General features: G+C 45.9%; 3 annotated features.

Annotated features, from left to right (window-relative positions):
• Window positions 21,560–22,096: an enhancer, noted in NCBI's record as "H3K27ac-H3K4me1 hESC enhancer chr5:5569545-5570081 (GRCh37/hg19 assembly coordinates)". NCBI's record gives its function as "activates a minimal SCP1, AML or CMV promoter by ChIP-STARR-seq in primed H9 embryonic stem cells {active_cell/tissue: H9 hESC(primed)}" and the evidence as "EXISTENCE:reporter gene assay evidence [ECO:0000049][PMID:30033119]".
• Window positions 22,646–23,285: an enhancer, noted in NCBI's record as "H3K27ac-H3K4me1 hESC enhancer chr5:5570631-5571270 (GRCh37/hg19 assembly coordinates)". NCBI's record gives its function as "activates a minimal SCP1, AML or CMV promoter by ChIP-STARR-seq in primed H9 embryonic stem cells {active_cell/tissue: H9 hESC(primed)}" and the evidence as "EXISTENCE:reporter gene assay evidence [ECO:0000049][PMID:30033119]".
• Window positions 25,808–26,367: an enhancer, noted in NCBI's record as "H3K4me1 hESC enhancer chr5:5573793-5574352 (GRCh37/hg19 assembly coordinates)". NCBI's record gives its function as "activates a minimal SCP1, AML or CMV promoter by ChIP-STARR-seq in naive H9 embryonic stem cells {active_cell/tissue: H9 hESC(naive)}" and the evidence as "EXISTENCE:reporter gene assay evidence [ECO:0000049][PMID:30033119]".

The following is a 27,484-nucleotide window of genomic DNA, read 5'->3' on the forward strand; positions in this document are numbered from 1 at the left end:
AAGATGACAAAAAACCCTATTAAAAAGTTGGCAAAGGACCTGAACAGACATTTCTCCAAAGAAGACATACAGATGTCCAATAGATTCATGAAAAATGCTCAACATCACCAGTCATCAAGGGGATGCAAATTAAAGCCACGAGGAAATATCACCTGACCCATGTTAGTATGGCTATAATCAAAAAGATGAAAGATCACAAGTACTGGTGAGAACTCAGAGAAAAGAGAATCCTGGTACACTGTCACTGGGGGAGTAAATGAGTGCAGCCATTATGGAAAATAGTATGGAACTGCCTCAAAAAACTAAAAATAGAACTACCATGTGATTTAGCAATCCCACTTCTGTGTATCTATCCAAAGGACTTGAAATCAGGATCTAAAAGAGACATCTGCACTCCCGTGTTCACTGCAGCCTTATTTACAATAGCCAAGAATGAATGAATTAATTCATTCTTGAATGAATGTAAGTTTCCATTAGACCAAGAAGAAAGACAATGTGGTGCACATACACAATGGAATATTATTCAGCCTTAAAAAAGGAAGAAGGTAATTCTGTCATTTGCAACAAAATGGATGAACCTGGAGGACATTAGGCTCAGTGAAATAAGCCAGGCAGCGAAAGGCAAGTACTATGTGATCTCACTTATATGTGGGATCTAAAACAGCTAAACTCATAGAAAGAGAGTGTAGGACAGTGGTCACCAGAGCCTCAGTGGCAGGAAAGTGAATGGGGAGATGTTGGTGAAAGGGTGCAAAGTTTGGAATAAGTTTTCCAGATCTATCGCCCAGCAAGGTGACTATTGTCAATAAGAATGTACTGTGTATTTCAAAATAGCTAAGAGTAAATTTCAAACATCTTACCATAAAAATGATAAGTGAGATGTTGAATATGTTTATTAGTTTGACCGAATCATTCCATGATATATGTAAATCAAAACATCATATTGCACCCCACAAATGTATATAATTATGATTTTTCTCATTAAAAAACTAATAAAAAGCATTAAATCAGTAGACTGAGAGAAGTAAATTACCCGCTATAATAGGGGTGGGGCTTATCCAATCAGTGGAGGCCTTAGTTGGAAAAGACTGACCTCTCTCAGAAAAAGAGGGAATTCTACCTCTCTATTGCCTTTGGACTTGAGCTGCAACATCACCTCCTCCCTGGATCCCCTGCTTACTGGCCTGCCCTGCACATTTCAGACTTGCCAGCACTTACAAATGAGTGAGGCAATTCCTCCTTAAAATAAATCTCTACCTCTATCTCTATTTCTATCTCTATATGTGTGTGTGTGTGTGTGTGTGTGTGTGTGTATACACACATTACACATCCTATTGGTCTGTTTCTGTGGAGAACCCTGCCTAATGTATTTGTGTGAATGAGTATTTCATTTGTGAGTAGATTATTGAGTCTCAAGCCTTTGTAGACATATTCACATTTAATGCCGCTCATGTCCTGGGGAAAATCTCTGTGAGCAGAGCATGATTTTCTGTGGGCCATTAGAAACAGTGTTCTAGTAGCCCACTATTGAACACTGGAATGGTTTTCCAAAATCTCAATGCATAGTATTATTTTTAAATGGTCAAAAACACTCTGTGGAGCACATGCAAGAATGCTGTATAATAGAATGGTTTCCGAAGCAATGTAGAAGAACTACATGAACTCATGGAATCATGAAAACTTTAAGTGAAGAGAAAAACTTAGGTTCTGGCACCAATCCCTCTCATTTGGAACTGAGAAAATGGGGAACCAATTAGGGCTTGGGACTTACTCAAGACCTCTCTGCAGGGGACTTCATTTCTGACGCTCCCAAAGTAGTCTGTGGGCCTGAAGGCCTTCTGTGTGATGGAAGCTGCCCAGAGCTGCAAAGCTCCCTGAACAGGGCCTGCAGGGGCTGCAGGGGCTCTGCTGGCTTCAGGAGTATGGAGGACCAGCCCACAGATGGTGGCCACCCACTGCTGTAGGCTGTAGTGAAGACCAGGGGTTGGGTGAGTGGACGAGGGTGGTTCTGGATCCTTCAGTCACATCACTATGGATTGAGGGTATAACATTAAGCAACATTTAAAATTTAGCTCCTCACACTAAATACCTAATCATAAAAAAGAGCATGATTTGGAATTTATGCCATGATATTTAACTATGATTTAGATACATGAAAACCACTATTGGGAAAATAGCCATCTGTAGATGAATAATTAGTGTGTGCACTTATAATGAACAAAAATTCTGTTAGAATTCTGAACACAAGGAATTCCTGGAGATGAGAAAAAGCCCCTGGATAAGGAGGAAACTCACTGTTACTGGATATCTCGCCTGGGTTACGCACTCTATATTAATGATTGCATGTCATTTTCACAAAAACTCAAAGAAATAGGTATTATTATACCTGCTTAGAGATTGTGAAAATTAAGCTCAACTGGTTTAAGGAATTCAGCCAGGTTTTTCGAGCTGGTGAAGGTAGCTCATTCCCACTCAACTTTAGGCATGCTAAAAGTAGGCCATCTACCATCTCTTCACTATCACAGGGGTAGGGACACTTCTCATGTAAAGGACAAGACAGCACAGTGTTTAGGCTTTGTGGACTATACAGTGTCTGCTCAACTATCCAATGCTGCCATTGTAACAAGAAGGCAGCCTTGTATTATATAAGCAATATATCAATGAATGAACTTGGCTGTGTTCCAGTAAAACCTTATTTATAAGAACAGGAGGTGGGATGAATTTGGTTTACTGGCTGCAGTTTGCTGACCCGGATCTATCACCTTGTCCTTGAGGATGGTTGACTTAGCTGATGGGCTTTTATCCATCACTGTGTGAATATATATTATGTACCTGTGAATGTTGGATAAACTCCAGCTCATTAATAATGACATTGTTAGTGTCCAGCCAACACTGTGTTTACGGTTGAGAATATGATGCTTTTACTCACTTAAGTCTTACATTGAACAGATTGCTCTTTTGTATTAGTCCATTCTTACACTGCCATAAAGATACTACCTGCAAGCTGTCAGTGGATGTACCTTTCTGGCGTCTTAAGGTTGGTGGCCCTCTTTTCACAGCTCCACTAGGCAGTGCCCCAGTGGGGACTCTGTGTAGCAGCTCCAACCCCACATTTCCCTTCTGCACTGCCCTAGCAGAGGTTCTCCATGAGGGTTCTGCCCCTACAACAAACTTCTGCCTGGACATCCAGTTCCAAAGTCACTTCCATATTTTCAGGTTATCTTTATAGCAGTGCCCCACTCTGCTGGTACCAATTCTCTATTATTAGTCTGTTCTCACATTGCTATAAAGATACTACCTGAGACTGGGTAAGTTATAAATAAAAGAGGTTTAATTGACTCACAGTTCTGCATGCCTGGGGAGACCTCAGGAAACTTACAGTTGTGGTGGAAGGTGAAGGAGAAGCAAGCAAGCACCTTCTTCACATGGTGTCAGGAGAGAGAGGGAGAAGGGGGAGCTGCCAACCACTTATAAACCACGAGCTCTGGTGAGAACTCACTCACGGTCATAAGAACAGCAATGGCGGAAACTGTTCCTGTGATTCAGTCACCTCCCACCAGGTTCCACCCTTGAAACATGCGGATTACAATTCGAGATGAGATTTGGGTGGGGACACACAGCCAAACAATATCACTTTTCCCTTCAGTTGAGGCATCAGCATTGCATTGGACTTCTTAGAATATGAAGTCATTCTAGTAGGGTTCCAAGTATCTTTATTTTCAAAGTAATTTGTCTTTCAGATGTTCAGTGTGAATTCTCTAGGGCAGAATTCTCACTGAATGTTGGACAAGGATCGGGAGTAAGTGCTTTTCTGACTGACAACCATTGCAGCCGTCATGACGGGCTGGGAGATGCCTCATTTGGCAATACAGAATGTGCAGCAGAATTAGACAGGCTGCCCAGGGGACACGACAGATAGGGATGGAAGCAGTATTGAAACAACCAGATGGACAGGATGAAGCACTTGATCTTCTACAGCATCTCTCTCTTTTTTTTTTTTTATCTCTTTAAAGGGCTGGGTGAAGAGGGAGTGGGGCCACCATCAGCACCATCAGGGAAGCAGACTATGAAATCAATGTTTTAGGCACCTTCATGTGTTGGCCTTTGGGCATCCATAATAAGGAGCATTTACCTTAGTTTGGCTGCTGTTTGTCTTTGGAGTCAGACAAGAAAGAGATTAATAGAAGAACAATGCTATTTCACTGTTTGGATGTGAGAAAACCAGCAAGCTTCCAATATCATGTTTTATCCAGCTTGGATTTCCCTACCCTCAGTGTCATGATGGTCCTTTGAAGCAAAACAGGATGGGTTGCCCCTCACGTGGAGCCCTTATGCATGCATTGTTCTCAGTGACAAAAGGAGGCTTAGAGGTTAGTGTAGACGCCGCTGTGCAGAACCAGCCACTGCCCTGGAAGGCGATCAACATTCATCAGGGAGAGGATGCATGCACCCCTGCTTGGGGGAAAAGCCTACCTTTCCAGCTGTCTGCAAGCTCCTGGTTGGTCTGACTTTGCTCTCTACAGCTGGAATTCTCAGATGTGAGGTGTGGACTTGTTGAGGTATGGATTCTTTATTTTATTTTATTATTTTATTTTATTTTATTTTTTTGAGGTGGAGTTTTACTTTGTTGCCTAGGCTGGAGTGCAGTGGCGCGATCTCAGCTCACTGCAACTTCCGCCTCCTGGGTTCAATCCATTCTCATGCCTCAGCCTCCCAAGTAGCTGGGATTATAAATGCCACCATGCCTGGCTACTTTTTTTTAGCCTGTATTTTTAGTAGAAACAGGGTTTCACCATGTTGGCCAGGCTGGTCTCGAACTCTTAACCTTAAGTGATCTGCCAGCTTCGGCCTCCCAAATTGCTGGGATGACACTGCACCTGGCTTCTTTTTAATGGCAGCAGTGGCAGTGTGATAACTCTTTCCTATTCACAAGCCACACATTCAAGAAGCTTTGGAAGGACATTGTAAATCATGGGGAAACATTCACCTTTCAATGACTTCCATTTTGAAGGAGACATCTGTCTTTGGTTTAGGAGCTCGTCAGAAGATTTCTATAAATAGCAATATTAGGAACAAGAGAGTAAATAAAGTTATGCACTAACACTGACTCGGTGATGCACAATGCACAGAGTTAGACTCGAGATTGGTGTTGGTTGGGGTTGGCTTTTATTTCATTTTTATTATTATTATTTTTTTTTGACAGAGTCTCGCTGTCGCCCAGGCTGTAGTTCAGTGGTGCAATCTCAGCTCACTGCAAGCTCTGCCTCCTGGGTTCTCGCCATTCTCCTGCCTCAGCCTCCCGAGTAGCTGGGACTACAGGCGCCCGCCACCACACCCGCCTAATTTTTTGTATTTTTAGTAGAGACAGGCTTTCACTGTGTTAGCCAGGATGGTCTCGATCTCCTGACCTCGTGATCTACCCGCCTCAGCCTCTCAAAGTGCTGGGATTACAGGTGGGAGCCACCGCACCTGGCCGGAGTTGGCTTTTAAAAGGAAAGCAGAGGCTGCACACAGTGGCTCACGCCTGTAATCCCACCACTTTGGGAGGCTGAGGTGGGCAGATCAGGAGGTCAGGAGATCGAGACCATCCTGGTTAACACCGTGAAACCCCACCTCTACTAAAAATATAAAAAAAAAAATTAGCTAGGCATGGTGGTGGGCGCCTGTAGTCCCAGCTACTCGGGAGGCTGAGGCAGGAGAATGGTGTGAACTTGGGAGGCAGAGCTTGCAGTGAGCCGAGATCGCGCCACTGCACTCCAGCCTGGGTGACAGAGCAAGCCTCCGTCTCAAAAAAAAAAGGAAAGCAGGAAGGTTATGGGGCTATATGTCTGGGTACATGCATGCATTAGCATACATTCTGTAGTTGTGCAGGTATTACAGATTAAATTGTTTCCCCCCAAATTCATATGTTGGAATTCTAACCCCCAGTACCTCAGACTGTGTCATTATCTGGAAGCAGGGTCATTGCAGGTGTGTTAGTTAAGATGAAGCCTTACTGGAGTAGGGTGGGCTCTTAACCAATATGACTGGCACCCTGATAAATGGGGAATCTGGACACGAGTACATGGATACAGGGAGAATGCTGTGTGAACATGAAGGCAGACACAACAGTGACACTCCCACCAAGGTGCTCTGCTAAGACAGCCCTGGCAAACTTGTCCAGGGTGCTCTGTATATTATATACCCATCTTTATATACATGTTATAGACATGTGTGTGTGCAGCATACATGTACACACACATTGAATGTGTCTTCCAAATATATAAAGAAGATCAGTCACGCCCCTACCCATACTCCAAAGTCCTTGTAGCCTTCCCTCTTCACAGGCCCAAGAGCAGTCTGGGATTATAGGCAACCTGTAGTAGTCCATTTTCACGCTGCTGATAAAGACATATCCAAGACTGGACAATTTACAAAAACAAAAACAAAACAAAAAAACAAAAAAACGAAAAACAAAACAAGTTTATTGGACTTACAGTTTGAAATGGCTGGGAAGACCTCACAGTCATGGTGGAAGGCAAGGAGGAGCAAATCACATCTTACATGGATGGTGGCAGGCAAAGAGGGAGCTTGTGCAGGGAAACTCCCATTTTTAAAACCATCAGATCTCATGAGACTTATTCACTATCATGAGAACAGCATGGGAAAGACCTGCCCCCATGATTCAATCATCTCACACATGTGAGTCCCTCCTACAACATGTGGAAATTATGGTAGCTACAAGATAAGATTTGGGTGGGGAAACAGAGCCAAACCATATCACAACCCCAGCTGACACACTTGCCCCTCTTTTTCTGTTCCCATCTGATGCTGAAGGTGCCCTGCTGCTACTTCTCAATGGTCTGCTTCCCATCCTTTGGTCATATCTGAAGAGCCCTGGTGGGACATAAGCGGACTTCTGGGTATGTACATTGTCCTGTGCAGAGTCTTTGGGAACTCTGCTGAACACTGTCTCCACCAGTTAAGAAGTGAATATTTGATCCCAGTCTTAAAAATATTCAGGTTCCTAAGGAGGAAGTAACATCAGGAACAGGAACAATTTCGAGCGGGAACAATTTCTATTCTCTCCCTCCTCCCAACTTCCATCCTCCAGTAGGCCCAGTGTGTGTTGTTCCCCTCCATGTGTCCATGTGTTCTCGTCATTTAGCTCCTACTTATAAGTGAAAATGTGCTGTATTTGGTTTTCTGTTCCTGCATTATATTTCTAAGGATAATGGCCTCCAGCTCCACCAATGTTCCTGCAAAAGACATGATTTTGTTCTTTTTTATGGCTGCATAGTATCCCATGATATATATGTACCACATTTTCTTTATCCATTCCACCATTGATGGGTGTACTCGATGCAAATAATCCCTGTTGTGTGCTCTTAATCAGGGGTCCCAACCCCTGGGCCATGGACCAGTACTGGGCCATGGCCTGTAAGGAACCAGGCCACACAGCAGGAGGTGAGTGGCAGGTGAGTGAGCATTACTGCCTGAGCTCCACCTCCTGTCAGATCAGTGGTGGCATTACATTCTTACAGGAGCTCAAACCCCACTGTGAAATGTGCATGAAGGATCTAGGTTGCACACTCCTTGTGGGATAGTTTTATCTTGAAACCATTCCCCCTTCTCTGTCCATGGAAAAATTGTCTCTCATGAAACTGGTCCCTTATGCCAAAAAGGCTGGGGACTGCTGTTCACAAGCATATAAGTTCAGCATTAATAGACTGCCTCTGCTTACGTGACAGTGTGATCAGCACAGCCCAGGTGCAGTGTACAGCCGTCTATAACTCTGTGTGTGTATCCAGGTAAGCATGTAGACCAGAGAAGCCTAGGAGGAGGTATATGTTATTTGGACCTTTATATTTTAATAGTTTTATTTTCCTTTTCAGTTTCAGTGAAGGCTTCAGCTGTATGTGAACATTTATGACAAAATGCACTCGAGCATCTAGAGTCATCTTAAGATGGAAATTACTTTTCTTCATAGTTGGATAGCTTCAAGTTGGCTATGATGATTTTTATATCCTGTGTCCAAACAAAGAAGAAAATAACCCATCCTTCCAAAACCCAAGACCATGTCCATGTGCATTGGAGGCACAAGACTGAATGAGAGAAACTGTGTTAAAGTCAGATTCCATTGGCATGTCTGTCCGCTTTTGCAAAGAACATGTTGGTGGAAACATGTTCCACATGTCAGTGGTTACCCTGATTCTTTGAATTTAATGGTGGGGCTGGCAAAGAAAGCTGGAGCATTTGGGAAGCCTGAAGCCTGCCCTTCCTGGCAGCATCAGAAAGCAAGGGGAGATGTTGGTGTACAGGCAAAAGTCAGCTCTCAACACAGGTGATGGAGGACTGTGTATGTAGCCAGGGATAAAGAATCCAGGAGGGGCCTGAAGATGGGTGGAACCAATGAAATGAATCATCCCAGGTGTATCATCTCTTGTTTGGAAATATCCTAGCCCATTCCTACCTTCCTTTTGTTTAAACCACCTCCTTTTCTGAATGGCTGTGCCTTTTCATTCTTGTCTTCTGATCATGCACGGACTCCGGCTCCCAGCTTGACCTGAGCGTTTGCAGGAAGCACACTAAGGTTTGGGTAAGTCAGTTGCTGTTACTTGCTCCATGTGCTGTCCACCATGCTACGTGCTGATCTAGCAGGTGACATTGTGCTCTGCTTCTTCACCAGGGCTCTCTAGAGACACGGTTTTGACTCCAGGGCTGGAGGAAACATCACTACCAGAAGTGGATGTATACTTCGAGGAGGAAGGTCTTGGATTTCCAGGGAGTAGGCGGTCATCTGTGCCGCAGGTTGGTGTTGGCCATGATCACACCAAGTCTCACTGAGTCACAATGAGAGGAAGCTACACAGAGACATAACAAGTGAGAATGGCAGGAGCGTGCCTGGTTAATGACAGGGAGTGGCATTTGTTCAACGGCACACATTCATTTATCCCATTTTAAAATGGTGCCACCGAGCTGCAAGGCAAGGAAGCTACTGAACTTACCATCCACAAACACCTGGTGTACTGATAATTGTTGCTGCTTGCTTAACTTTGTTTTTCCTAGTCAGTAGATCCAGAATAGAAGTCAGTTCCCCTTCCCTTTTATTCAAAAGAATTCATTTAATCAGGACTTCTAAAGTGAAGTTTTCCAAAAAACTTTAAAAAATATTCATTTTAAATTTTTGTGGGTACATAGTAGGTATATATATATATTTATGGGGTACATGAGATGTTTTGATATACGCATACAATGCATAATGACCTTATCAGGTAAACAGTGAGTCCATCAGCTCAAGCATTTATCCTTTGTGTTACAAACAATCCAATTACACTCTATCAGTAATTTTAAAACATACAATTATTTTTGACTACAGTCATCCTGTTGTGCCCCCATATGCTAGGTCTTATTCATTCTTTCTTACTATCTTTTTGTACCCATTAACCGTCCCCCTACCACTTCTCCCACCATCCTTCCCAGCCTCTGGTAACCATCCTTCTACTCTCTATCTCCATGAGTTCAGTGGTTTTAGTTTTTATCACCCACAAATAAGTGAGAACATGCAAAGTTTGTCTTTCTGCCAAGACATGTTTTTAAATTGAGGTAAAATTCATGTAACATAAAATTTACCATGTTAGCAACCTTACAGTATACAATCTACTGGATTTTAATACTTTCCCTATGCGCTGTGCACTATCACCTCTACCTAGATCCCGAACATTTCACCCCCCACGAAAATGAAACAATGCGCCCATCAGTAGACACTCTTCCTTCTCCCACCCAGTCCCTGGCAAGCGCTAATCTATTCCTGTCTCAATTGACTTGTGAATTCTGGACATTTCACGGAAGTGCAATCATACAGTACGTGGCCCTGATGTGGGGTTTCTTTCACTCAGCGCAGCAACTTCAAGCTTCTTTCATGCTGCAGCATGTATTAATACTTCATTCCTTTTAATGGCAAAATAAGTCCCGTTAGCTGGATCTACTGCATTTTGTTTATCCATCATTGCTTGATGTACTTTGGGACTGTTTCCACCATTTGGTTATAGCGATACATTAAATACCTTTCTTTTGTTATTTTTGCCACACATCTTCGAAAATAGACAACTCATTCTTCTGAACACATCCCGGAATACATGTTCTCGGTAGATTCTTGTCCAGGATTAAATAATGGCCTTTATTTTCTTAATATCCTTTTTGACAATTGGGATAAGGCAGCCAGAAGGTAACTGACTTCTATCAAGTTATGGAGCACATCGTACAGAGGCGAATGTAGGCCTTTCCAATTCTTGTCCCCAGATGGACTTGTGTGACTCTGCTGAGGTTAATTCTTTGCAGCACGCCTATCCCTCACGCATGCACGAAGTTCTGGAAGTCTCCCCTGCTACATGTTGCTGTGTAATTGTGGCCTGACTTATCCACCATGAGCATGAAGACTGTGACTCAGCAGAGATCAAGGCCACAGCAGGCATCCTTACACACCCATGTTTAGATGTGCAGAAGCTGGGAGCCTGTGTTTGTGAGAAGGAAGACAGGCTTAGGATTGAGGTGAGAAATACCTCTCATTGCAGAGGTGGTGTCCAATAGTCTGATTCATGCCTGTCCCTCAGTTAATCACGGTTTCTTAACTGCTGCTCTATTGACATTTTGGACCAGATAATTGTCCTGGGTGTTCCCCTGTGCTTTATAGGATGTTTGCAGCATGCTGGCCTGCACTCACTGGATGCCGATAGCACCACTCTGCCTTTCTCTCCCCATCATGATAATCTAAAGTCTTTCTCCGGGCATTGCCAAATGTCCCTTGGCGAGGGGCAAAAATCATTCTTGCTTGAGAACCACTGGATCAGATAAAATTAAACAGACTTTCTATTCCTCAGACTCTAAGCCTGGTGCTTGATGGGAATGTGGGGACAGATAACGCCCAAGGAAATTACAGGAGTAAGAGGGTTATCTGGAGCAGGAAAACGTGCCAGGTAAGATGCGTGTTTGCTTGGGTTTGGGATTTTCTTATCTGGGGACCGAGTGGCTGATTACAGGCTCAGGGCTCATTACTCCCAAATTACCCGTCTGTCACTGCTCATTAGAGGAGTTTTCATTTGAAATCTGTTTCTGGTTGTTGCCCTCTTTGAAGAGAAGAGTGAATGAGGTCACAGGGATTAATGGCTGCTAAAAGCCATTCGGTTTCAACATTTCTCCAAGGAAAACGAATCATCATGTTTTCTGAACGCAAAACTCCGAAATAAAGATATGGGGAGTAGCAGGCCCTCTCCAATCAGACAGGCTCAGGAAAGTTTCCCCTACCAAAATAGAGCTGCTTATAACAAACTGGAGTGGAGAGAGGGTGCAAGAGGGAGCTCCCAGGCACCTGCCTGGAACCTGCCTCATCACAAGAAAAGCCTGCCGTCCCACACGCCACATGTGGCCCATGCCTTTTAGCAGAACCTTTCTCAAGAGCCTCCTGAAGACTTCAGGACTCTGGACAGGCCACCTGCTGAAGGACACTGACCCCAGCAGCGGTGTCTCCACCAAGAAAGGAACAGTGAGCAATGAACAGCACCGATTCCTACACTGAGCCTCTGTGACCTGTGGACTTTGTTTCAAAACAGCTTGTGTGGGCTTCCTTTTGTCCATAAAAGCTTCCCCTTTGTCCCGGCCCCCTTGCTAGGACTGTGATCATCGTAGAATGCACATCCCAAGTTGTGGCTCCCTCCACTATTTCCAAATAAACTTTCTGCTTGGAAAGTTGGTCTGGTACTCATTTTAGGTTGACTGTCTATGTAGAAATCTTTCCATTTTAGGTTGACTGTCTATGTAGAAATCTTTCCATGCCCTTTTTCCAAACCTCCCTGGCAGGAAGTTCAAATAGGAAAATAAGGGCTACCAGCAGAATCATTTAACCCAGCATTATACAATTTTAATCAAAGTCTTTGATGTGAGCGTTGCCTCTGCCAGGTAATGCTAAGGGTGCCATTACACGTTTCAATGTGCAATTAACGTTTTCCTCTGCGGTGGTGTTTTGCATGATGAGTCTGTGAGGGTGGGGGTGGGGGTGGGGGTTCTGCACAGTTCTCTTCCATAAAGCTATCTCTCCTTCACGTGGTCGCTTTGGCAGTTTTCCTTATTACCTGCTGTGTGTGCTGTTCTCCTTTTGACTTTTGATATCTGTGCTTTCAACCAACTCATTCTGAACTATGTTCCCCTTCATCAGCTGTTATCTTTCCTCACCCCCATGCAGCCTGGGAACTGCTGTGAAATCCAGCTCTGTTTTCCCACCCCAAACTTTCCTGTTTTGACTCCTTTCCAGGAGAGTCTTTCCCATTCATTTCCTTCTGTGATGTGTAAACACTGCCTCTGCTGCAAGTCACTCAGCCACCTCCCTCTGCTCTGCTTCACATCCGGGCTCTTAAATGTTTGTGTGTCCTTGTCTTTTTCACATTAGCCCATGAGCCAGCAAGAGTGAGGAGACCTGGGTTAAGTCTACCTTCTACCACTAAAGAGCTCTGTGTCCTTGCTCAGGCCATGGGTGGCTCTACCACACTGTTTCATTATAAAAGCATACCAGATGCTGTCTTTCCCTGTGGTATACTTAGGAGATTATGAGATGATCATATTTAAAATGCCTGGTAAAGTTAAAGTAAAAATGGAAAGTTGTGTCTCTATTTATTTCTACTTACCTTATTTGCTGACTTCATCACAGACTTCTCCTTCTATCACTCTCTCTAGCATATTTTTTAATCCTGTTCGATCCTGGCATCTTTTACATTTCTCCTTGTTTCCAGTTTCTCATGCGCTCCGGGTAATGTCCTTCCCTCCCCCCTCCCCCCCGCAAAATTAACCATCTCTTGGCAAAGGAGGCACATCACCAGTCCCTCCCACAGGCCAGTCCTTGCTGTCAGCACTTTATATGTGTTTTCTTTTTTCCAGTTTTTAATTTTATTTTTCCGTAAGTTATTGGGGTGCAGGTGCTATTTGGATGGATGAGTAAGTTCTTTGGTGGTGATTTGAGAGATCTTGGTGCATCCATCACCCAAGCAGTATACACTGCACCCAATTTGTAGTCTTCTATCCCTTGCCCCCCTCTCTCACTTCCCCCTAAGTCCCCAAAGTCCATTGTATCATTCTTATGCCTTTGCGTCCTCATAGCTTAGCTCCCACATATCAGTGAGAACATACAACGTTTGGTTTTTCCATTCCTGAGTTATACTTAGAATAATAGTCTCCAATCTCATCCAGGTCACTGCAAATGTGGATAAAAAAACTGTGAGATATATATATATATATATATATATATATATATATACACACACACACACACATATATATACACAATGGAATACTACTCAGCCATAAAAAGGAATGAATTATGGTCCTTTAATGGGTATGAAAGTATATGTACGTTTCAGGGTCTCTTTCCTCTGAGATGCCTCTGGTACTGATGGCTCAGCTGGAACCAGGGCTCCTCCAGCAAGTAAGTGTCTGCTTGACTCAAATATGCAGCCTCCCTTCTGGGTGGGAAACTCTCCTACCTACCTGGCCTCTTCTCACCTTCTCCCCAGTGGGATCATCATGCAAAGAAATAGACCAAGACTTCCCAGCACTTCTTTCAACCTCTGCTTTCTCATTCTCATGTGTCCGTTTTTGGGAAAGTGGTCAGAGGAGAGAGAGACAAGAAGCCATAAAGGAGAGACTCAACCCTGCCTGGCCTGGAGACGGCAGCATTCAGCCCAGACAGGACGTACTGGGCTCCTCTCCTGCCCTCTGGGAATGGCAGGGGCAGCTGCCTGGAGTACCGCGCGCAGGGTTCCCTAAGAAGGCGAATGGGCTCTGCACCGTGTAGGGTGGGGAGTGGGAGCAGTAATGCCAGATTCCAGACTCCCCTCAGTCCAACTTCGGTTGGTTTCTTCTTAGGGGTTGTTCATGACTCAACTACAAAACTGGCTTCCTGGTACCCTTTACTTTTCTGTCCTTTGACCCTAGAAAAAGAAGTATTTTAGCATGCTTCTGTTTGGCGAAAGGCCCTTGGTGAGAAAACTCTGTTGGTAGCTCCTGAGCTGCAACACCCGTCTCAGAGTCAGAGACGTTTCAAGTGGGGAGATTCTATTGTTTTCCGCATTCTGCATGGCAAGGGCCCTGCCTTCGATTCCCTCTTGTGCTGTTTGCGAGTCCCCACGCTGAGTTCACAGGCAAAGGAAGACGTTTCCATCTCAGTGAAACTTCACAGTCTATGTGGCTTCGATGACATGTCAGCCACAGTGGAGAAATTTTCAGAATGGTTTTGTTTCAAGGGTGCAGGGAGGAAGGGCTGTCTCCCAAGTCAAATGAAGCATTCCTTCTCTCTGTCCTGTCATTCCTACCCAGTGGGCCTGGAGGGCCTTTGCTAACCAGCATGACTTAGTTTGGAGACTAGTAGCTTTGTTTACATTGGATATCTGTTGCCAGTCTTCACCACTGCACCATCTCTATGCTAAAGGTAATTGCCAAGAGAGTATGTTGTTATATTGCTCTATCAGGGTGCAGGACCCCATGGAGTTAACGGCCAAAAGCCACACACTCACCACGCAGCAGAGTCCTGACTGCATCCTCACATTAGGAACAGGGTTTTCAGGTTTTTTCAACAGAGCTTATCTTTTTTTTCTGTTGGGGGTGGGGAAGATGTAGTCTTGCTGTCATTCAGGCTGGAGTGCAGTGGTGCAATCCCAGCTCACTGCAACCTCCACCTCCTGGGTTCAAGCGATTCTCCTGCCTCTGCCTCCTGAGTAGCTGGGATTACAGGCACGCACCACCATGCCCGGTTAATTTTTGTATTTTTAGTAGAGACGGGGTTTTGCCATGCTGTCCAGGCTGGTCTCGAACTCCTGACCTCAGGTGATCCACCTGCCTTGGCCTCCCAAAGTGCTGGGATTACAGGCATGAGCCACCACACCCGGTCTGAGCTAACCTTTTTTAATCTTTGGGATGAAGAAGGAAAAATGATAGCATTACAATTTCTGATGTTCAATTAATTTTAAAACAGTGAAAAGAAGGAGAGTTGATATTCAACAAAGTTGTAGATAGAAGGAGAGTAGACACAATTATTCATGGGGTACAACTTGGGTAAAGAGAGAAGGGAGTGCAGGAACCGGGCAGGCTCTTCCAGGCTGGAGAGAGGATAAACTTGCCAGAGCTGTTCTGGAAGGGAATTTGGCAGCAGCTACAAAAGTCTGGGAATTTTGGATATATTTTGATCCAGTGATTCCACTTCTAGGAAGTTATCTGAGGAATAATTGTAGGTCAGCTAATTCATTAAGCTACAAATGTGTTTACAATGGTGCTGTTGATAACAAAGAAATATGGAAAAGCTAAACATAAAACGTCTCGCTTATTGGGATGTTAAGTCTTGCAGAAGTTGTTTCACTTATTAAGTAAAACAAAAAAGTTTCAAAAGCAGTATATGCAGCTTTAGTAATCAAAACAGAGTGATATTGGTATAAAAATAGACATATAGACCAATGGAATAGGATTGAGAGTCCAGAAACAAAGCCATATGTCTATGGCTGATTGATTTTCAACAAAGGTTCCAAGAACATTCAATGGAGAAATAGCAGTTTCTTCAATAAGTTGGGCTGGGACAACTGGATATCCACAAGCAAAAGAATGTAGCTGGACCCCTACTTCACTCCGTATACAAAAACTAACTCAAAATGGATCAGTTACCTAAATATCAAAGCTAAAACCATAAAAATCTTAGAAGAAAACTTAAGGGTAAATCTTCATAATTTTAGATTTGGCATGAACAACAAGAAAGATAGATAAATTGAACTTTATCAAAAGTAAAAACCGTGTATCAAAGCACATTATGAAAGAGTGAAAAGGCAATGTATGGAATGGAGGCAACTATTTACAAATCATCTATTTGATAAGGACCTAGCATCCAGAATATATAAAGAACACTTAGAAGTCAACAACAAGAAGACAAACAAACCAATTAAAAAAAAATGGAGAAGGACTCAAACAGACATTTCTCCAAAGAAAACATACACATGCCAAAACCACATGGAAGGATAGCCAACATCATTTTTCATCGGGGAAATGCAAATCGGAACCAGAACGAGTTATCACTATATACCCTCTAGCATGATCATATTTTTTTTTAAAGGAAAATAACAAGTGTTGGTGAGAATGTGGAGAAATTGTAACCCTTGCACATTGTTAGTGGGACTATAAAATGGTTTAGCCTCTTTGGAAAACAGTTTGGTGATTCTTCAAAAGTTAAACATAAAATTACCATATGACCCTACAATTTCACTCCTAGGTGTAGATTTAAAATAACCGAAAATAAACACTCAACAAGTACATGTCTATAACCATAAGTTCATGTGTAATAACCAAAAGACAGCAACAGCCGAAATGTCCATGAACAGATAAACTGTGGTATGGTCATAAAATGGTATATTAGTTAGCTATAAAATGGAATAAAGTACTGATCCATGCTACAGCATGAATGAATCTACACGACATTATGCTAAGGGAAAGAAGTAAGACATAAAATGTCACTTATTGTATGATTCTCTTTATGCGAAATAGCCAGAATAGGTAGGTCCGTGGAGACAGATTGCAGATTGGTGGAGGCCAGAGGCTAGTGTGGGGGAAGAATGGGGAGAAACTACTTAATGGGTAAGGGATTTTACTTGGAAGTGATGAAAATGTTTTGGAAATAGAGGTGTGGGTTGCATAAAAAATGTACTAAATGCCACTGAATTTTTCACTTTAAAATGGTTAATTTTATGTTACGCAAAGTTCACCTCAAAAAGCAGCATATGTAATATCTCATTTTTTTGTGAAAAATACATACGGGAAAAGGCTGGAAGAGCAGCACTCGTTTAAAAATGTGCTAATGGTGGTCATGTCCAGGTAGCACAGGAGGGCACAACCCCAGTGCTGGAGCCTGGTTCAGAGTGGCTCAGTCACTTCTAGCTGTGTGACCCTGGGCAAGCTACTTGTCCTCTCTGCTTTGCAGACTTGACATGAGGGTTAAATGAGATAATGCAGCACTCAGCACATATCAGTAACGGTTAGCTATTATTATTTTTAAAGGCATTTTGACTTGTCTTAGTTTATTTGCATTTTCTAAATTCTTGACAATCAAAAAGGTTTTATTGCAATATCTAGCAGAAATGCAGACTTTAAGAGAGGAACGGATTCAGACGCCCCTGTGTGTGACTGGAGGAAGGTATGTATTTTGAACAAATATGGGATATTGCATCAGCTACTTAAAAAAAATACCTCTGTGGTGGAGCCCTCAGCTCTGCAAAACCAGGGCAGAGATAGAGAGGGGCTATGGAGTCAGTGTGATGTGATATAAAGAAGAGAATTGAAAACAGAGCTTCTCTCAATCCACGCACACAAGCTTTTAGTATGAATGTGCAATGTTAAATGCTGAGAAATTACAGCTATTAAATAAAGACTCTCTAATGGGGCTTCCTTGTCTGGAAGGCCCCACCCTCCCTACTCTGTGCCTCCTCCTGCCCATCCCACAGATCCATGCTGGGATTTTGGAGCCTCCTTAATTAGGGTCCCCTGGTACATTATCTCTTAGCAATTCCCACTTTCCCTTCCCAGCTGTTATAACAGATCTTCATTATTTATCAAGAACAAATGCATCAGGTATATTCAATGAATGGCTCTCCACGAGGCAAGTGTGCTGGATATTTTGTTCACTGTATTTCCCCAGTTCCTAGTAGGAAGCCTGGCATACGGGAAGGGTGTTGTAAATATTTTTTGAATAATCAGAATGACCAGATAGGTATAGTTCAATAATCATTATCAGACAATCGGCTTCCATTTCCATTGATTCCATTAGACTATTCTTCACAGGACAGTCCCACAGGAGGGTAAGCAGTATGGACGTTAGTGCTGGTGCCGTTGTGGGGGATCAGCACAGAATCTTACAATCACTTGGGGAAACACAGGCCCCCTTTTCCGTACTCCATCTGCTTTTGTTTGGTTCTCTTTTCCATCCTGGTCACTGCTTTTCACTGTACACCCTACCTGTTCTCTGGGATGCTGGTGAAGTGTCACTGGGCCACACGGTATCTTTTATACATAAAGAACAACAGAAGATGGTTTGATTCTATTTTGTTCCTTAGTGCTTTTTATACCTACTAGACTTCCAGCACAACAATATGTGGAAATAATCTTTAGTAAGTTCTTGGGTATCTGCTCTTCAGCATGGTAGCTCTTCCTCCAAATACAAAAGCCATAACTTAAATTTCCAAACTCATGTGATCACAGGTTCCAGCTGATGCTAAAACTCTAAGTCAGCGTCTGTCATACAAGGCCTGCGATTCTGAATCTGAAAATATTCTCAGGTGATTTTCATGATCAGACAAGTCTAGGAAATGCTTGCTTAAATAAACAGTGCAACTAGCAAGCTATTTTAGAACTTTAGAAGTTGCTGCTTGCAAGGGAATCCAATCATGGATATGGAGGCTGGAGCTATGCCTTCCATCTTCCTGCTTGGTTTCTCCAAGGAGCTTGAACTAAAGGAAACAAAGGTTTAGTCTCTAATAATGCCTCTTCTGCACTCTGCCACACCCCAAAGAAGTAGAGAACCTGGCAAAACTCAAAACTCAAGACATCATTTGCTCTTGGATGAAGAAACGGCATCAGAAAGGGGTGTGCTCAAAGTGTATAATTTTATTCAAGACACAGTTACTGGAAAACATGCCCACATGAGTCTACTGCCCTATAAGCTTGCCTGATTCCATTCCAGTTTATTATACTTGATTAATATCTACCTGGAAGCCTACTTTCCTGGTGCAAAGAGAAACAGAGCATCTGTGAAAAGCAGACTGGGAAGCATTTCTTTAGCGACTTAATATTTAGGATGCTGGATGCTCGGATTATATGCAGCCGTCAGAAAAGAAAGATGCAATTCAGTTGTGAAGGATGTATTTTAAAGCCATTTGCTAAAATGTCACTGGAATTTGTAGTTGAACCCAGTGAACAGCTGGAGATGCCGTAGCAAGTGACAGTCTCGCGTCCATCTGTGGTTGTTTCTAACATCACTGAAGTGGACAATGACAGGATCAAACGCTGTGCTGATCCATCAGTAGATAGACTTTCTTGGCATACTGGGGATGCCACCAAGACACTTTATTTGGCTTAGTTCCTGCTCTGGGGGTCGGAATTTCTCCAGCAGCTGGGCGTCACTCTGTGATCCTGTGTTTTTATTGGAATGCATTTGCTTGGTTGGTCTTAGTTCAGTGAAGCTGAGCTCCAGCTATACTGCTCCACATATCGATCGGTTCCTAGAAACACCTGGTCCTGGGACCTGCTTCCCAGGTAAGCTCATTGGTCCTGGGACCTGCTCATTGGTAAGGGATGAGACATTGAAACAGCTTGTCACATGAAATAGCCTCAGCTCACCTATCAAATGTGGGTGGTTGCCGGCTCATATGTGGAATGAAGACCTCCCCAAGGATAAGGAGACAAGAGAGGTAGTGAAATTAAGACCCTTAAACCCTGATTTTTCCCTTCCATACTGTTATTTGGAAGTGAGTCACTAAGTCCAGCTCATAATCAAAAAGATTGGTGGGTTGGAGGAGGCCCACCGATCCCAGAGGGGAAGCGTCTACAAGGGTGATATTCAGAATCAACACTTGCTTTGTTGGTTTTCTCCATGATGTACAAGTCCAGTTTTAATTAACTTTTTTTGGATAATCCTGGAGTCTTTTTACTCAGGTTAAAGAAAAATCACCCAATTAGGGATTTTTTATTTTCATTTTCCTGACATCTGAGGTGTTGGATAGATACTATGACTGCTTCCTCCTTCTGGAAAGTGTATCTTGTGTCCCAGACTCTGAGACACTTCTCCGGTACCTTTGGTTTGTGATCTCAATTCTCACCTGCAGCCCCTGACCCCACGTGCCACATTTCCTGACCCATGGAGAGGCACCTGCGGCATCCCCTGCCCAGCCCGGCTCAGCTGCTCCACTTCTCATCTTTTCCCGGAGGAACCCTCACCCCTTAACATCCCTGTTTTTATACATTGATTTTCTAAGCTATAGTCATTTTTATTTTCCTTCTTTTTCTTGCCCTCCAGATTAATTTACCACCCAGTCTTATACAGCAGGTCCTTGAGGAACGACATTTAGTTCAACGTTTTGCAATAATGTTGTCGAGGGAAAACTCAGTTCTGGCCGGGGCCACCACCGGCAGAGTTGGCACACTCTCCCCAGGTCTGTGTGGGGTTTCCCCATGTACTCTGGTTTCCTTCCACATAGAAAGCTGTGCCCGTTGGGCGAACTGGCATGACTCTCTAGTCTCCGTCTGGTCTCTACATGGCTGCATCTGAGCTGCCCTGTGATGGGACAACGTCCTGTCCAGGCTGGTGCCCGCTTTGCACCCTGAGCTGCTGGAATAGGTTCTTGCCACCCACCACCCTAAATTGCAGTAAGTGGGTTGGAAAATTGAATGAATGAATGAATGAATGAAAATTATTGTAAAATAAAAACCCATAAACTCTACGATAATCATTCAAATGTGCAACAATATACCATGCAGTACGAGAGGGCGCTGGGTGAGCCCCCACGTCTGTGACTGTTTGTGTTTGAGCTGCACGATGGCAGGGGGTTCCTGGCGCTGTTCTCTTTGCAAACACTCATTGCTGGATCTACCGCAGCAGGACTATGGCTGCCGCCACTCACCGGTTCACCAAAAATTGAGTAAATAATTCTCCTACTTGTTTTCATTAATCTTTCTTAAACGTATGCGTAGCTCACATTTATGCCAGTGCTTAACGTTAGACATGTTTTGGGTCTTTAGTTAGCAGTTTGGTAGTTTTTTTGTGATCAGAAGTATGCCATCTCAACTCTTGTTTACATCAATTACTTATTGTAAAATTGATTTTGTTATATGTCATTTTGCTTAAAGTCCCAATTTCCAATAACCTATGGACGAGGTTAAGTGAGAACTTACTGTAGATTTACGTTTTTTTTTTCTCTTTTCCATTTCTAATACCTTACTATGCAATAATGGATGGGACATCATCTTTGGGGTCAGACAGACCCATGCACAAATTCTGAGTTTTCTCTGGCCTCTATATGTCTCTGTTTTACTTGACTTTTATATATCTGTGTCCTGGTCTCTAACATGATGGTCAAGCACATAGCTTTTAGAGTTGTGAGGATGCAGGAAGGGGCCCCAGGAAGGGCCTCCTGGAGTGTCTGGCTCTGGGGGCCTTGGACACGCTCATGTTGCGCCTGGGGATCTCCTTCATGCCTTTCTCTCCTCACCCTGCCCCTATTGGTCCTGCTTCATGTCAGCCCACACCGTGTAAGAAGCCATCCCTGCGATGATATCTACCCTGCGTGTTGCACCCGCATCACAGCTTTCTGAGTCCAAACATCTTCAGGGGTTCAAAGCCACCCTGGCTGGTCCCCATGATCATGTCCTGTCTCATCTGCTATCTCCCGAACATCCCAGGCCCTGCTCCTTCCTATCTGCCTTAATCCCAGTGCTCTCTGGGCCGCCTCCTCACAGCCCAACTTCACATTCCTTGGAAGCCACAACAACTCCTCCCTCTGCCAGTGGAGCCTCGGCTGCCCTCCAGGGCCTGCTGTGGCCCTGCTCTCCCCGGTCTCTGTGGCTCCTGGGGACCCTGGCACTCTCTGCACCCCCAGCCTGGAGGGCAGATGGCCAGCATGCAGGAGGAGTGTGCAAACCAACATCATCCCAAGAGGTGGACAGTGAGCCAGGCTCTGCTTTCTGTGTGGACCCATGACTGTGGAAAAATCACACTGTCCTTAAAAAGCCAAATGGTGCCTTTTCTCTTGACTAACCCTCCAAATGGGATTTTGAGAGAAAGAAAAAAAAATCACCCCTTTGAACCATATTAAACAAGCCAGGTCTTTCTGAGTTTGAAAGAAAACCAGAACACTGAAAGGAGGTCACCATGGGGCACTGGGGTTCCTGCAAGGACCCCTCGGGGCTGGGAATGTGTATTCCCGAGCAATGAGCTGCCTCCGGTGTAGTCAATTGCAGAATGTCCATTCTGAGTGGATACTGGAGTTTTCGCTGCTTTACAAACTTCACGGAATGCTGTGAGAGTCTGGCTGGGGTTGACAGGGCAGGCCTGTGCTTGTGGGCCCTGGGGCCCCAAGCACAGCTGAGGTTCTGGGACCATGTGCCAGGGTCCTAAGTCAGTGAAGTTGACAACTAGAGTGAGCAACTGCTGAATATGATGTGGTCTCTCCTTCCTGAGAACCAGAGGCCAATGTGAAGGTGGGATTCTGTGACTTCCCAGAATGGGGAAGTGGGCTGGGGTGGCAGCTGGCAGCTGGGCCAGCTTTGTGGCCCACCCCAGCCTGGAGCCTGTGCTCTTGAGTGGGGCTGCCCCACCTGCCGGCCTTCATGCCGTCCACGCTATTACCTCAGGGGCTAGAGGGCATACTGCTGGTGGGGAAGTTCGGCTGGGACCACCCAGCTAGGGAAAAAGACTGGAAGGACCCAGGGCTATTTGAAAGAGGGATTCTGGGGCTCTGAACTCTACAGAAAGTTCCAGAAGCAGCGTGCACTGGCTCTGGTAGGCACAGGCCCTATTAAGACTCCATAGCCTTTTCCTCCTGGAAAGACTTACATGGCTCAAGGAGGGACAGAGGGAGCATGTGCGGGGCAGGGCCAAGGGCAGGTGGGACTGTTGTGCTACCAAGGATGGGAGGAGAATGCCAGGAAACTGGAAAGCTCCTCAGGAACTGCAACATGTTGGGAAGCAGAGAGCCCCTTCTTGTTGAGAAATGGCCCAGTTGTCCCTCCAGAGACACACTGGCCTGCATCTCAGCCAATGACACAGGACTGGGACCCTGTGTCCCCACACAGGCACCTGCTCTGTGATGCACCCGGCTTCTCCAGTGACTCAGCTGCTTGGCCTGGGCCTGCTAGAGATGCAAATTGAGGTCTCATCAGCTGCCCTAGCCCTGCCCAGACACCCTGACCAGTGTCCGACCGGCCCTGCCTCAGTGGGTGCTTGGAGGGGCACAAATGACTCAGCAGGAGTGGGAGTTGCCAGGAGCTTCCAGGAGTCTTGAAGCCAAGTGTCTCTCCAGGGTTGATGCCAGCTTCGCATCGGCTTGGCTGCGCCAGGAAGACCACCAGGGCAGTGCAGAAAGTGATGGAAGGACCTGCCATCGGGTCACGCCTGAGCCACAGCTGGGCCCTTTCACTTTAGAGTGAGAATCCTCCACTTCCATGGTGAGGGGAGGCGGAGGGGCTGAGAGTGAGGAGTGGGAGGGCGTCCACCACCTACCTGACACCCACTCACTGTGGGACCCGGGGAAGTTCCACAAACCCTCTGGGGCCTCAGTCTCCTCATCCATAAAGTGGGGACACTTAGAACAGCACCTGACTCCCACGTGGATGGGAGCAGCTAGGCCCTGATGCCCAGAGAGCCCAGGACCGGGAAGCAGGATGTGTGCCGGCTCTTCCCGGTGGGGCATCCGAGGGGCACAGCCCACTCTGAGCCTCAGGTCTCCATCAGTCGAGGGAGGATGCCCATGATTCCTGCCTCCAGGCCAGCTGGGAGCCCGCACATCAGGAAATAGGACAGCCTCATTGGCTTTTGCTCAGCTTCCAGGGAGAAATCGTCAACCACAGTAGCCTGCAGGAGAGATGGAGCTACAACCCAGCATTGGAAAATAAAAGCCCAGGAACCTGGCAGGAGTGGAGGCCAGCGCGTTGGAGAGCCCCGGGCCATAGGAGACAAGCCATTCCCTGTCTCGGATGGAATCCCTTCTGCCTGTGTCCCTCAGCACTCCTGGTTTGTGTTGGGTGAATGAAACCACATGTGTGGAGTACTTTTTTTTTTTTTTTTTTTTTTTTGAGACGGAGTCTCGCTCTGTCGCCCAGGCTGGAGTGCAGTGGCGCGATCTCAGCTCACTGGTTCACGCCATTCTCCTGCCTCAGCCTCCCGAGTAGCTGGGACTACATGCGCCAGCCACCACGCCCAGCTAATTTTTTGTATTTTTAGTAGCGACGGGGTTTCACCATGTTAGCCAGGATGGTCTCGATCTCCTGAACTCGTGATCCGCCCACCTTGGTCTCCCAAAGTGCTGGGATTACAGGCGTGAGCCACCGCGCCGGCCGTGTGGAGTACTTTTTAATGGCAGGGGTCTCATGCAGGCCTGCCTTTTCCCCATGCTTCTTCTCCTGGTTCTCTGTCCAAAGCTTTCCCCTGTCTATCTCCATTTTCATCCCCTTCCTGGCGATCACAATGTCCTTCTTCTCCCCTTCAGTGTCCCCTCCGGTGTCTGCCTTGGGAGCCCAAGCCCTGAGAGCGCTCCTGGAGTCAGGAATCAGTATCTGTCACTATGACCCATGAGCCATAGCACGTCCACTCAGACAGTGGCTTGCCTGATGTGGAGAGAAGGGCGAGGCACGAGTTATGGTGGCTGATTTGCACACCGCTCACGCTGTCTTAAGAAGACTTACTTGTTGATATTAATTGCGGAATAACATAGGAAAAAGTGTGAAGGGCACTGCCGACTCTAAAAAGAGAGGCAGCCCCACGCAAAGTGAAGGGGGGCTTGGGCCCCTGATATGGACAAGCGTCATGGGCTTCAGCAGCCTGTTTCTGCGAAATTGCAGAAGAATGAGGCTGGTGACTCCGCCCAGAACCCCAGCCCCCGCCCTCCCCAGTGAACAGATGAAAGCTGATGGCAGCGAGCAGTGGCCACTCCCTCGTAGCGGATTCGTTTGGAGCCTCTGCCTTTCTTGCCCAAATGTGGTTCGGCTCAGTCTAGCTACAGAGAAAAAAATTGCATTCCCGGCTGGGATTTCGAACAGTGATTTATTTTAGTGGAAGTGCCTATAATTAAAAGCAGCCACAACAAAAACGAGGCGTGAGAACATATGAGTCCCAGACAGTTACCAAGCCCAGGAGGCCGTCGTGACGGCAGAGGTGACAGCAAACTAAATTTACAGCCCCATTCTGCCCCTTTCCAGGGGTGTGCTCTCAACAGGGGTCAGTTTACGCGAGGGATTAGGAAGAGTGAGATGCCTCTTTTGGAAATGATGATGCATATGTATTTTCGAATGTTGAAAATACATAGGTGTGAATACCAGGAAGATGTGGCAGGGGACTGTGAGGCAGAGGTGTCCCTCACATGGAAGGACAAAGACTAAGGGAACTTCTGTGCAGATGGCGCCAAGGTTAACTCAAGGTAGGAACGTCAGAGCAGCATCACAGTGACGTTGGCTGAGATGAAAGGGAGAAGGAAAGCTCATTTCCATACCTCGCAGCCCACACTGCGCTTCCAGCTGAGGTCGGGAGGGAGGGGGCAGTGAAGCCCTGGGTGCAGCGGCAGAGACCCCGAGGCCAGTGCCCCCGCGGGGGCCTGTAGGGTTCCTGTCCCTTTGTGTGAGGTTGATGTACAGCCCCACAGCAGCTCTGTGGGCGCTCCAGGCCAGCTCCTTGGAGAATCCACAGAGGCCCTCAAAGGCTGCGGAAGTGCACTTGTGAACATTTTCTATGCATTCAAAAATCACATTCTTTTGAATTATTTCCAGCAGCCTGACCATGTGACACAGTCCTTGTGTGGTGGGTCCCCAGGTGAAAATATTTCCTGAGGAGATGCCTGAGTGCTGAGATTCAGGCATCCGGAGGATACCGGTCTAACTCACTCTGGCTCTGAGTGGGAGGCCCGATCCAGGCACAAAGGGCAGTCCTCTCCCTCCGGGCTGGAGCCTGGCTGCTGGCCCAGAGCGTCCGAGGATGTCTTCCCTGTGGAGAGATTCCACTCTGCTTTCTCCTCCTCCTCCCACGCTCTGGCTCTCAGAATTTATAGCAAACATGGGCGTGAGGGGCTCAGGCTGCTGATGAGTGGGTCCCAGAGGAAGGAGAAGACCTCCACGGAGGTTAGACAGTGATTGTTGTTGAGGAAGAGAGGAATGGCTTCAGGACTGGCCTGCGTCCAGGTCCCACTTAGGGGTCTGCCAGGTGGGGGAAGCCCCCGCTGCTGCTCTCATGCGAGATGGGCAGCCGCAGGACCCTGCTCCTTAGGGCAGAGCCACACAGGGACAAGGTGGCCAGGCAGCTGTGCTCACCTCCCGTCTTTGCAGATGCGGCGTCCCCACCTGGCTGCTTGGGAGACTCTTGACGGCAGGTATGCTGGGATCTGAGCTGTGTTTCTGCTCTCGCAGGTGTTTGAATTTCCCAAAGCGGGTGGGAGCTGCCAGAACTCCTAAGCGAGATGAGGCATGAGCACTGGGCTGCCCAGCGGAGTCCTGGTCAGGGTGGGTGAGGCTGTGCAGGGATGGCTGAGCTTGGGTATTGACGGGGCCTGCTGCCCCAGCCGGCTCTGCTCTGTGCCCTGCACCAACATGTGTCCTGGGTTTCCATCCTCAATCACTGTGCAGGGGGCAGGCAAGGACACAGGCTTTCTATCCTTCCAGGCTTCTAGCCCTCAATGCCCTTTCTGTCTAAACCCCACAGGGAGGCTGCGGGGATTCCTCATCTTAGCCCTGCTGTGAACCACCTGCAGCAAGGACTGTCTCCTGCCTTCTTTGGGAAGCCAAGCGTGGGCCAAAATCAGTAAGAGAAGCCAGGTTTAGGAATCTCAGGAAGGACCATGTAAGAGTTTGCTAGGACTGCTGTCACAGAGTACCACAGCCTGGCAGCTTAAACAGCAGAAATGTATTGTCTTGCAGCTCTGGAGGCTGGAAGTCCCAGAGCAAGGTGTTAAGGTGTTGGCAGGGCTGGTTCCTTCCGAGGATGTGAGGTGCCTCTTCCCTGGTGTCTGGTGATGCTGACAATCTTCAGTGAAGTCCCAGAGCAAGGTGTTGGCAGGGATGGTTCCTTCTGAGGCTGTGAGGTGCCTATTCCCTGGTGTCTGGTGAGGCTGACAATCTTAGTGCTCCTTGGTGTGTAGAAACCATGATCTCTGCCTTCATCTCCCCATGATGTTCTCCTTATATGTGTCTCCCTATATGTATCTGTCTACAAATTTTACCCCTTTTATAAAGATTCTGGTCTTATGGAAGTAGGGCCTGCCCTACTTCAAAATGACTTCATCTTTATCAGTTATATCTGCAATGACCCTATTTCCAAATAAAGTTACATTTGAAGTACTGGGATTAGGGCTTCCACATATGAATTTTCAGGGGACATAATTTAACCCATGGCAAGCCAAGACTGACTTTCAGGGCATGGCATTTCTTACCCAAAATGTAACAGGACGGGATGGGGCTACAATGGCTGGACTGGTCTCAGTAGAGAGAAATGACATCACTTTTAATTTCCATCAGAGTAAGAATGAAGTACAACATAGATTAGCTTTCTGAGCATGAAATAACTTGAAATTTTAAGGAGCTGATTGAGGGATTCTGGGACTTGTGATTGTTCTCCAAATCGAGTAGCAAATTACTCCAAAAATAGTCAAGTGCCTCAGTACCCCATTCATTCAGACTAATTAAAGGGAAGCCTAGCCTTTAGAAGTTGGAGTTCTTTTCACAGATTTCCTTGAGAAAT

This window comes from Homo sapiens, chromosome 5 (genome assembly GCF_000001405.40).
Source record: "Homo sapiens chromosome 5, GRCh38.p14 Primary Assembly".
Lineage (NCBI taxonomy): Eukaryota > Metazoa > Chordata > Mammalia > Primates > Hominidae > Homo > Homo sapiens.